Source organism: Homo sapiens, chromosome 11 (genome assembly GCF_000001405.40).
Source record: "Homo sapiens chromosome 11, GRCh38.p14 Primary Assembly".
Classification (NCBI taxonomy): Eukaryota; Metazoa; Chordata; class Mammalia; order Primates; family Hominidae; genus Homo; species Homo sapiens.
This window is the reverse complement of record NC_000011.10, coordinates 60,314,735-60,327,188: the sequence shown is the minus strand read 5'-3', so window position 1 is coordinate 60,327,188 and position 12,454 is coordinate 60,314,735. Positions and strand designations below refer to the sequence as shown.

The 12,454-nt window shown below is 36.4% G+C and overlaps 2 annotated features.

Annotated features, from left to right (window-relative positions):
- Positions 7,408-7,908: an enhancer, noted in NCBI's record as "H3K27ac hESC enhancer chr11:60086754-60087254 (GRCh37/hg19 assembly coordinates)". NCBI's record gives its function as "activates a minimal SCP1, AML or CMV promoter by ChIP-STARR-seq in naive H9 embryonic stem cells {active_cell/tissue: H9 hESC(naive)}" and the evidence as "EXISTENCE:reporter gene assay evidence [ECO:0000049][PMID:30033119]".
- Positions 10,605-10,664: a silencer, noted in NCBI's record as "silent region_3371". NCBI's record gives its function as "represses an Ori minimal core promoter by ATAC-STARR-seq in GM12878 lymphoblastoid cells {active_cell/tissue: GM12878}" and the evidence as "EXISTENCE:reporter gene assay evidence [ECO:0000049][PMID:35858748]".

The following is a 12,454-nucleotide window of genomic DNA, read 5'->3' as shown; positions in this document are numbered from 1 at the left end:
ATGACCTAATTTCCTCTTAAAGGCCCAAACTATTGCATTTGAGATTAAGTTTCAACATGCATTTTGGAAAGGACACAAACATTCAAGGCTTCAAACCATAGAAACCATATATATTTGGGTTTATTTCTGGGCTGTATATTTTTGTCCCACTGGTTTATATGTCTGCTTTTATGCCAGTATTATACTGTTTTGATTACTATAACTTTATAATATACTTTTAAATAAAGAAGCATAATGCTTCCAACTTTGTTCTTGTTTCTCAGAATTACTTTGGCTATTCAGGGTCTTCTGTGATTACACGTGGATTTTAGCATTTCATTTTATATTTCTGTGAAGATGGATTGTGTTGAATCCTTATACTGCTTTTAGTAGCATTGATAAGTATAGGAGGCAGGGAAATTCTGTGCAGAAGAAGGCAGGTCCCCAGCAAGGGCCCCACCGTCAAGCCAAAAAGCCTGATAACTCAGCCCAAAGTGAGAACATACATCCCTGTTTTCCTGCTTGAATGTCGCCTTTTCCAAAACCACCCATATCCTGCCCCACCCTCCATCCTATGCTCATAAACACCCCAGGCTCAGCCAGCAGAGAGAGGAGATGCAGCTGGATGTTGAAGACTATGGTTGTATGGCAGACAGAAGCAGCTTGACATGAGAGGGACAGCTTGATGGTGTAGCATCTAGTCCTCGGCCAGATTCCAGGGGAAGATTACCTTCCCGCTCCATCCATCCCCTTTACATATTCCCTTCCCACTGAAAGCCACTTTCACCAGCACTAAAATCTCTTGCATTTACCATCTTCAGTTCGTTCATGCAACCTCATTCCTCCTGGATGCTGAACAAGAACTTGGGTGCCATGAGTGTAGGTGCAAAACACTGTCACACTGACCCTCCACTGAGCTATTAACACTTAAGCTATCCTTGGATGGCAAAGCTAAAATGGGCAGTGTAACACTTCTTCTGGGTCTTCAGAGATCACGGTCACCCTCTCCCTAGATGCTGCCATGGGACTGGTATGGAGTTTGCTCTTGCCGGCACCCAAAAGTGCTTGCCCTGAGTCCTGCACCTGCTCACCTGTGCTGCCCCTCCAGCAAAGGGTGGAGCAGCAAGTGAGTTAAATTTGCCTCTGCTGGCACTCGTGCAGTGCAGTTCCCACCTGTGTAGGTGTCAGGGAAACTTCAGCATACACATTTTAACAATATTTCTTCTAATGTGTGTACACAGGATATCTGTCCATTTATTTGTGTCTTCAATTTCTTTCATCAATGTTTTATAGTTTTTACTATACAGATCTTTCAATTCCTTGGTTAAAATTATTCCTATATATTTTTGATGCTAATATAAATAAGATTGTTTTCTTTATTTCTTTTCAGCTAAGTTTTTAATTGTGTGCAAACATTTAGCTAATTTTTGTTTGTTGATTTTGTATCCTGCAACTTTAGTCAATTAATTTATTATTTCTAACAGTGCTAGTGGGTGGAGGGTGGTTTTTGAGGTTTTCTACATATAGGATCATGCCATAGGCAAATAGAAATAATTTTACTTCTTTTCTGATTTGGATAGCTTTTAATTTTTCTCTTTTCTGATTACATTGACTAGAATTTCTAATACAATATTGAATAGAAATGGTGAAAGTGGTTATGCTTGCCCTGAACTAAATATTAGAGAAAAATATTTCAGTTTTTCTATATTAATTATAATGATAGCTGTGGGTTTTTATAAATAGTCTTTACTATATTGAGGAACTTTCTTTTTATACATAAACTGTTGAGTATTTTTAACAAGAAAGGATGTTGAACTTTGTCAAATGCTTTTTCAGTATCTGTTGTAATGATCATGTGGTTTTGTCTTTCATTCTGTTAATGTGATGTATCACACTGATTGATTTGCATACATTAAACCAGCTCTGCATGCCAGGGATAAATCCTACTTGGTCATGATATATAACATTTTTGATGTGTTGTTGAATTTAGTTTTCTAATATTTTGAGGATTTCTGCATCAATATTCTTCAGAAATACTGGTCTCAACTTTCATTTTTTATGGTGTCTTTGTCTAGTTTGGAATAGTTTAAGAAGTATTAACTCTTTATTTATTTATTTATTTATTTATTTATTTATTTATTTAGAATTTAGCAATAAAGCCATCTGGTCCTGAGATTTTCTTTGTTGAGAAATTTTAAATTACTACTTCCATCTTTTTATTTGTTATCAGTCTGCACAGTCTTTCTATTTCTTCCTCATTCTATCTTGGTAGATCGTATGTTCCAAAGATTTATCAATTTCCACTAGGTTATCTCATTATTGGCCTTTAATTATTCGTTATAGTCCCTTATTATCCTTTTTATTTCTGAGGCATCTGTTGTAATGTCTCTACCTTCATTTCCGATTTTATTTATTTGAGTGTTCTCTCTTTTATTAGTTCTGCTAAAGATTTGTCAGTTGTGTTTATTTTTTAAAAATCAAATCCTAGTTTACTAATTTTTTCTTTGTATTTTTTAATCATCACTTTATTTCTCATCTTTGTTTTCTCTTTTTTTTCCTGCTAACATTGTGTTCATTTTGACCTTTTTAAATCTGTTTTCCTGAGGTGTAATGTTAGACTATTTATTTTGAATCTTTCTTTTTTAAATACTGGCATTTATTGCTATAAAATTTCCTCTTAGAACTTTCTTTTTTTTTTGCATTCCATAGGTTTTATTGTGTTTTCATTGCCATTAATCTCAAGATATTTTTAAATTTCTCTTTTAATTTCTTCTTTGGTTGTTCAGGAGCATGTTGTTTAATTTCTACATATTTGTGAATTTGTGGAGGAGGAATATTCCTCCAGTTATTGATTTCTAGTTAAGTATCGGTATAGTCAGAAATTATACTTGATAGAATTTCAATCTTTTTAATGATTAACACTTATTTTGTGGCCTAACATATAATCTATCTTAGTGAATGTTTCATATGCACCAGAAAAGAATGAATATTCTGTTGCTTTAGGATGGAATGTTCTATATATGTCCATTAGGTCCATTTGGTGGACAATTCAAGTTCAGAATTTCCTGATTAATTTTCTGTCTGGTTAATCTATTTTTAAGGTATTGAAGATGCCTATATTATTGTATCGCTATCTGTTTCTCCCTTCATGTCCATTAATATGTGCTTTATATATTTAGTTGCTCCAAAGTTTGGTGCATATATATTTATAATTGTTATGTCCTCCTGATTAACTGAACTCTTCATCACTAAATAATAACATTCTTTGTCTTGTGACAATTTTTGACATAAAGTCTATTTTATCTGATAAAAGCATAACCACCTCTGACCTCCTTTGGTTTCTATTTGCATAAAATATCTTTTTCCATTCCTCCACTTTTAGCCTTGTGTGTCTTTAAAGCTAAAGTAGGTCTCTTGCCAGAAACACATACTTGGATCTTGTTTCTTATTGATTCAGCCACGCTGACTTTCAATTGAAAAATTTAATTTACTTAAATTCAAGGATATTAGTGATAAACAAAGACTTGTGATTGTCATATTGCTAATTGTTTTCTGGTTCTTTTGCAAATCCAATTGTCTTTTCTTCCTCTCTTGTCTGCCTTTGTTATTTGGTTATTTTCTTTAGTACTAAGGTTTGATTCTTTTTTATTTCTTTCTGTTTTTTATTATACTTTAAGTTCTGGGATACATGTGCAGAACGTGCAGGTTTGTTACATAGGTATACACATGCCATGGTGGTTTGCTGCACCCTTCAACTCGTCATCTACATTAGGTATTTCTCATAATGCTATCCTTCCCCTAGCCCCCCACCCCCAAACAGGCCCTGGTGTGTGATGTTCTGAACATGCAGTGTTTGGTTTTCTGTTCCTGTGTTAGTTTGCTGAGAATGATGATTTCCAGCTTTATCGTCCTTGCATAGGATATGAACTAATCCTTTTTTATGGCTGCATAGTATTCCATGGTGTGTATGTGTCACATTTTTTTTTATCCAGTCTATTATTGATGGTCATTTGGGTTGGTTCCAAGTCTTTGCTATTGTGAATAGTGCTGCAATAAACATATGTGTGCATGTGTCTTTATAGTAGAATAATTTATAATCGTTTGGGTATATACCCAGTAATGGATTGCTGGGTCAAATGGTATTTCTGGTTCTAGATCCTTGAGGAATCATCACGTTGTCTTTCACAATGGTTTTCTCTGTATCATTTGTGTATCTTCAATAGCTTTGTGTTTTGTAGTTACCATAATCTTACATAAAACATCTTAAAGCTGGAATACTTTATTTTAAGCTACAATATAGTTTCGGTGTGTTCCCACCCAAGTCTCATCTTGAATTGTAGCTCCCATAATTCCCACGTGTTGTGGAAGGGAACTGGTGAGAGATAATTGAATCATTGGGGCAGTTTCTCTTATATTATTCTCATGGTAGTAAATAAGTCTCACAAGATCTGATGGTTTTATAAGGGGTTTCCCCTTTCACTGGGCTCTCATTCTTTCTTGCCTGATACCATGTAAGACATGATTTTCACCTTCCACCATGATTGTGAGGCTTTCACAGCTAGTTCTCCCAGCATTTATTTATTAAACAGGGAATCATTTCCCCATTGCTTGTTTTTGTCAAGTTTGTCAAAGATCAGATGGTTGTAGGTGTGAGGGCTTATTTCTGAGTTCTCCATTCTGTTCCATTCATCTGTGTTCCTGTTTTCATATCAGTATCATGCGTTTTTGGTTACTGAAGCCTTGTAGTATAGTTTGAAGTCAGGTAGCATGATGCCTCCAGCTGTGTTCTTTTTGCTTAGGATTGTCTTGGCCATACAGGCTCTTTTTTATTCCATATGAATTTTAAAATAGTTTTTTCTAAATATGTGAAGAATGTCAATGGTAATTTGATGGAAATAGCATTGACTCTATAAATTACTTTGGGTAGTATGGTAATTTTCATGATATTGATTCTTCCTATCCATGAGCATGGAATGTTTTTCCGTTTGTTTGGCTTCTCACAGATTTTCTTGAGCAGTGGCTTGTAGTTCTCCTTGAAGAAGTCCTTTACTTCCCTTGTTAGCTGTATTCCTAGGTACTTTATTCCTTTTGTAGCAATTGTAAATGGGAGTTCATTCATGATTTGGCTGTCTGCCTGTCTATTGTTGTTGTATAGGGATGCTGTTGATTTTTGCCATTGATTTTGCATCCTGAGACTTTGCTGAAGTTGCTTATCAGCTTAAGAAGCTTTTGGATGACCATTTCTTATACCTTATACAAATATTAACTCAAGAAGAATTAAAGACTTAAATATAAAACTGAAAACTACAAAAACCCTCGAAGAAAATCTAGGCAATACCATTCAGGACATAGGCATGGGCAAAGATATCATGACAAAAATGTCCAAAGCAATTGCAACAAAAGCAAAAACTGACAAATGGGATCTAATTAAACTAAAGATTTTCTGCACAGCAGAAGAAACTATCATCAGAGTGAACAGACAACCTACAGAATGGGAGATAATTTTTGCAACTATCTATCTGACTAAGATCTAATATCCAGTGTCTATAAGGAACTTACACAAATTTACAAGAAAAAAAACCAAACAACCCCATTAAAAAGTGGACAAAGGGCACAAACAGACACTTCTCAAAAGAAGACATCTATGCAGGCAACAAATGTATGAAAAAAAGCTAAACTTCACTGATCATTAGAGAAATGCAAATCAAAGCCACAGTGAGATACCATCTCACACCAGTCAGAATGGTGATTATTAAAAAGTCAAGAAACAACAGATGCTGGCAATGCTGCAGAGAGATAGGAATGCTTTTACACTGTTGGTAGAAATGTAAATTAGTTCAATCATTTTGAAAGACAGTGTGGTGATTTCTCAAAGACCTAGAACAAGAAATGCCACTTGATCCAGTAATCCTATTACTGGGTAAACACCCAAAGGAATGTAAATCATTCTATTTTAAAAACACATACAAGCTTATGTTCATTGCAGCACTATTCACAATAACAAAGACATGTAATCAACCCAAATACCCATCAATGATAGACTGGATAAAGGCAATGTAGTACATATACACCATAGAATACAATGTAGCCATAAAAAGGAATGAGATCATGTCCTTTGCAGGATATGAATAGAGCTGGAAGCCATTATCCTTAGCAAACTAATGAAGGAACAGAAAACCAAACATTGCAGCATGTTCTCACTCATAAGTAGGAACTGAACAATGAGAAAATACGGACCCAGGGAGGGGAACAACACACACTGGGGTCTACTGGTGGGCATAGGGGGGTGGGGGAAGGGAGAACATCAGGAAAAATAGCTAATGCATGTGGGGCTTAATACTTAGTTGATGGGTTGATAGGTGCAGCAAACCACCATGTCACACATTTACCTATGTGACAAACCTGCACATGTACCCTGGGACCAAAAAAAAAAAAAAAAGATTGCCATGTTGGGTAAAATATTCTTTGCTGGCAAGTCTTGGTTTTTCTTCAATTTCTTTTTATATAGCGTCCCATTCTCCCCGACCCTGCAACTTTCTATTAAAAAATCCTCTGATAGCATAATAGAAATCCCCTTGTATTTAAAAATCTCACTTTTTTCTTGCTACTTTCAAAATTCTCTTTGACATTGACTTTTGACAATTTGATTATAATGTGAGAACCTATAAGATTTAAACCTTATTGGTCATCTTTGAGCTTCATGGATCTGGATGTCTATATCTCTTCCAAGAGCTATGAAGTTTTCAGCAGTTATTTCATTAAGTACGCTTTTTGGTCCTTTCTCTGTTTTATCTCCTTTTGGAACTTTCATAATGCAAAAATTTATTTGATTAATAGTGTCTCATCGGTCCTGTAGGTTTTCTTCACTTTTTTTCACTGCTTTTTCCTTTTTTCCCCTTTGCCTGGGTAATTTTAAATGACCTCCTTTTAAGTTACTGGATTCTTTTTTCTGTTTGATCTAATCTCCTTTCAAGTTCTATTGTATTTTTTATTTTACTCATTGAATTCTTCAGCTTCATGATTTCTGTTTAATTATTTTCAATGATTTCTATTTCTGAATCTCATTCATATAATATTTTTTTCTGATTTTGTTGAATTGCCTATATATATTCTCTTGTATCTTACTGAGTTTTCTTAGATTGTTAATTTGAATTTCTTTCCAGGCAATTTGTATATTTCCATTTCATTGAGGCCAGTTGCTTGAGAATTATTGTATTTCTTTGGTGGTTTTATATTTTCTTGCCTTTTCACATTTCTTGGATGCCGGTGGTCATGTCGATACATCTGATGGAGCAATCACCTCTTTCAAACTTTACAGGTTCGATTTTATAGGGATAGACTCACTTGCAAATGCGTCCCAGGCTGCCAGTTGGGCAGGATGTGGTGGCTCTGGTTCCAGTTGTGCACAGGGGTGCAGGCATCATGCAGCTTCTTCATCTGTGATCCATGTCAGTGATGACTGCAGGTGTCAAAGTGGCCTAAGCTTCAGGAGTTGGTGGCAGCTATGGTGACAGCATTGGTTATTTGGGTCCTCAGTGACAAGGCTTTTGGTGTCCTCTTTTACTCATTTTCCTCACACTAGAGAATCTTAGCTGAGGGGATCTCTTTCAGTATTGGGTCTAACACAGCCCACAGGTGGCCACACAGCTTTGGGATATGAGGTACAGCCTCTTAGAGTGGCTTTGGAGCCAGGGTCCTGGACCCATAGTCTATGAATGTACTTCCACCTAAGTCTTGGGGCACTGGTTCACTCTCCAGGTCATGGTGAATGTAGATTACCCACAAAGCTGAGGTCTGTGACTCTGGAGTACCGCAGCAGCTCAGGCGCAAGAGCCAGGGATGGAGCTATGACTGTGACTTTCGGGGGTAGAATGAAGTATCACCATACTTCTGGAGGATGATGGGTGGTCCAGAGGCTCAGGCCCTGGATAACAGGAGGATGTATCTGCAATTCAGGTCCTGGAGTCAACAATGTGCAATACCAACTCAGACCTCATGGGATGAGGCACCATTTAATTATGACTCTGTACTCTGGGTTTATGGAACATGGCAGTAGCCCAGGCTCAGTGAAGGGAAGTGCAGTGGCAGCAAAGATACAAGAATGGTGAGATGCAACTGTGGCTTGGGTCCTGGTAGGCAGAGAGTAGTGCAGCAATGGCTGCATTCCCTAGGAGGCAGCATACCTCAGCAGCTCAAATTCCAAGTGACTAGTTCCAGGGAGGCAGAGAACTGTAGATATTTGGCCGTTTGTGTGGGGTGGCATAGCTCAGTGAAGGTTTTGGTTTCCTAGGAGGTGAGGCACCACATCAGCTTAGGCCTTGCAGGCATGGCTGCTTGAAATGACTAATATTCTATTTCTTCTGAAAGGAGGGCGTTGCATTAGCTCAGGTGTCAGGAGGCATGACTGTTTGGCTAGGTCAAGACAGTAGTAACCCAGAAGTGGGACACTGCATTAGCTCAGGCCCTGAGAGGTGGGACTGCTTGACTCAACCATGATTTTATTTCCCATAGAAGCCACTGTTTCAGCTCAAGTACCCTCTGTGGCTATTTGGCTTGGCTAAAATGTTGTGTTTCCAGGACACAAAATGTAGCCATCTGGATTTCTGTGCTCTATAGGATTTTTGCTATTGTTTTGCTTTACTCCTGGGCTTTTCTTTGGTTTTTTTTTTCAAAATGTAGTCGTTTTTTCATTGTTTTGGTTAATAGTGGTAGGGATGAGCACTAAGAACTTCTTTTGGTCATCTTGCTGATGTCGCTGCACTTACTTTCAAAATGTCAGGAATATATGCATGTGGGCTGTGTGTGTGTGTGTTTGTGTGTGTATGTATGTTTAGCAAAACAAAATATTATCTACATATGATAATGTCCATCTAATAAACACCACTAGAGACAAACATGTAGTCGAACACAATAGATTTCTTGACTTGTTTTCATAAGTGATAATGCACCCTAGGAGAACCAAGAGGCATCTAATCAACCAAAAGAAGAGATGAAGTTATTTCATGATTTGGGAGAAGGGTGGAGTTTGGGTAACATTAAATTTGTAGTGTTTTATTGGCTCCAAGAAAAGCAGACCTGTCTATAAAGGGCTTAACAGCAAGCCTCATACAGAGTCCTGTTTCCTTGGAACTACAAAGTAAAGAAAAAACTGTGTAATGTTGAATTTTGAAATCTATCATGTAAAGCTCTGCATTGGAAGTTTCTCTCTTTCCTTCCTTCTTTCTTTCCTTCTCTTCTCTTCTCTTTCTTTCTCTTTCTTTCTTTCTCCTTTCTTTCTTTTCTTCTTTCTTTCTTTCTTTCTCTTGAAATGAAAACTTGAATGCTGGCATAATGTTTTATTTTCCCCTGCATAGATAGCATGGCAAAAATGATTAATGCATAGATAAATCTCTATATATACTACACATAAATAAATGTCTTCATGTATAATCTATTTACATAAGAATGTGGAAAACCTTTTTCTAAATTAATTTTCATTGTGTTAGCCTGGGTTCACTAGAAAACAGAGCCTGAGACAGGGATTTAGTGCCAGTGTTTTTGTTGGGAGAACACATAAAGTACATAAATCATAAATGTCCAGCTCGATAAATTATCAAAAAATAAAGACACATGTGTTCTTACCTCCCAATTAAAAATTAGAAAATAGCTTGTATGAAGAAGGTACAGAGCCCTTTTGCTCCTTTCCAGCCAATACACCCCCAAGAGTAATTACTGTCTCTGTTTGTAATGCCCATGATTAGTTTTGTTGGTTTTGGCGTTTTAATTAATGGAATCATATGGCATGTATTTTCGTGTGTGTCTGACTTCTCTTCAGTATTATTGTATTACATTGCTGGGCAACACACAACCAAAAAACTCAGGGATTAAATTAAATCTGTATTATTCCTCTTAAGTTTGTAGGTCAGTGAGGTTTCATTATGGTGAAAAGAGGCTAACAATAAGGAAAAAAAATAAAGTTTAGGGACTATGCCAACTTTTCATTTTCACTATTAACTCAAAACTCACACTGAATGTGCTAAAACTGCCTCCTAAATGGCAACTCTAGAATGAAACTAGAATGTCAGCTCCATGAGGTCACAGATAGCCCAATTAGTTCACTCTATACTTCCAGTAGTGCCTGGAATATAGTAGATGTCAGCTCAAGCACCCTCTGTCTGGGTTCACTAGAAAACAGGATCTGAGACAGGGATTTACTGCCAATGTTTTAGTTGGAAGAGCACATAAAGGACATAAATCATAAATGTACAGCTCAATGAATTATCAAAAAGTAAAGACATGTGTGTTCCTATTTCCTAATTAAAAATTGGAAAATAGCAAGTACTAAGAAGGTATATAGCCCCTTTGCTCCCTTCCAGCCACTATACCCCAAAAGTAATCACCATCTCGACCTCTAATACCTGTGATTAGTTTCACTGGCATGATCTTTTAATTAATGAAATCATATGGCATGCATTTTTTGTAAGTTTGACTTCTCTTCAGTTTTGTGTTATTTTGCTAAGTAACACACAACCAAAAAACTCAGAGATTAAATTAAATATGTATATTTCCTCTCAAGTTTGCAAGTCAGTGAGGTTTCAGTATGATGAGAAGAGGCTAATGATAAAAAAATTAAAGTTTAGAAACTATGCCAAGTTTTCATTTTCACTTTTAACTGAGAACTCGCATTGAATGTGCTAAAACTGCCTTCTAAAGGATAACTGTAGAACGAAACTAGAATGTCAGCTCCATGAGGTCATAGACAGTTCAGTTAGTTCACTCTATATTCCCAGTAGTACCTGGAATGTAGTAGATGCTCAATAAATATTTGTTGAATGAAGATATTGTGAGATAGAGTTAATTTACAGAGGTACTTAAGAGCTCTGTCTTAATCCTGGGGATGCCTGAATGTATGAATTTTGGCTCTTGGTCAAGATAAGACCATTAGAATTTATAATATGCAGTTTAGAATAATTTTAAACTCTCTTGGCAAGCCCCAAGGTCAGTTTCTTTGCTAATGACTTGCAACTAGCCTAATGAGTTTGACAAGCTTGACTACTACTTAATGGGATATAGAGAGTTTCTTGCATAGATCTGGGCAGTTCAAGTCAGAAACTGGCATGGTTCATGTGTCTGGTTAGGTCTATGGGGAGCTTGTACTATCTGGAATGTCTTGTACTGCTTGGAATGTCTCCAGTGCTTGCCCTCTCTCTCTTGCTGCATTGTACTCTCTGCCTTTAGATAAAAGCCTTATGTGAGTACCTTCTGTGGTATTTGTTAAGTCCTTTCAAATATCTGCCTGTGGAAAATAATAGACTCTGACTTGGGCAATACAATTGGGAAAAGAGAATATATCAGATTTACAAAGACTTCGAACTGATTTTCTTCTTAAATCAAATATCTTTTATATAGAAAAATAAAAAGGGAAATATAAGCCCTCCGTTTTCTAGGTCAGCTAAAACAAATTTATGCATATGATACATTTCTAAGAAAAATTTGCAGAATTTGCAGGCTAATTTCTGTTCCAAAATAAATTAAATCAAAATATTGAAATAATAACAACCAAATACTAAATAACTAAATTTTCTAATCCAGATTCTGGGAAAGATAATCTTTGTCAGCAAAACAAATAAAGACTCATATGTTACATGTAGATGTTGCCAGAGTTTTATAATGTATGAGAAAAAGTATATGCATATATGGATATGAAATATATATAAATTTATATGTAATATGCAAGTTATTTAAATATATTTTCAAATAATATACAAACATATATATTCCATACACATGTGTGTTTGTGTATATATATTTGCATATATGTCATTTAGGCCATTTAGCAACCCTGTTATGGGCACAGTTTCTGTGGCTTCAGAGTTAGAGGTAAAACGGGAATGCTTTCAGTATTCTCTAAATATGGGAGAGAATACTAAGTAGAAAAAAAACAAGACAAAAGAATCAGTTACTGAAAGTAATTGACAAGGGTTGAAGCATTTTGCTGCTGGCTTAAGGGGAAAAGAACCCCCCTAGATGATAGCTGGCTTATACAGCACTGTGAGGTTCCTGAGCCCCATCCAGACTGTGACTCTCCTCCTTTTGATGTCCAGCCCCTCCTGGCCAAGCTGAAAGCATGCATTCAAGAGATGGGAGCAAGTTACAGGCTATATCTGGTTAAGCTGTACCTGGAGTCTGAGAAGGATTAAAACAAGCGGTCTTGACCTTTTATTAAAAGAAAAATACCACCTTTTGCTGAAATTGATGATAGAAAGATCCAGAGGGGAAACCACAAAGAACTTTCTGAACTGCTTCCTCTGCTGGAAAGAGTGTACTTATTGAAGACAAATTTTTTTTAAATCTAGTGTTATCAGCCTCACACAGTTACTCGAAAGTACTTAAGTTCCTGGGAATCATATGAGCAGTAGCAATCTGAACAAACCTTAGTCAGTAAAAAAACAAATTGCTGATCTTGAGGAGATTCAAACAGGAAAACAAATGCATC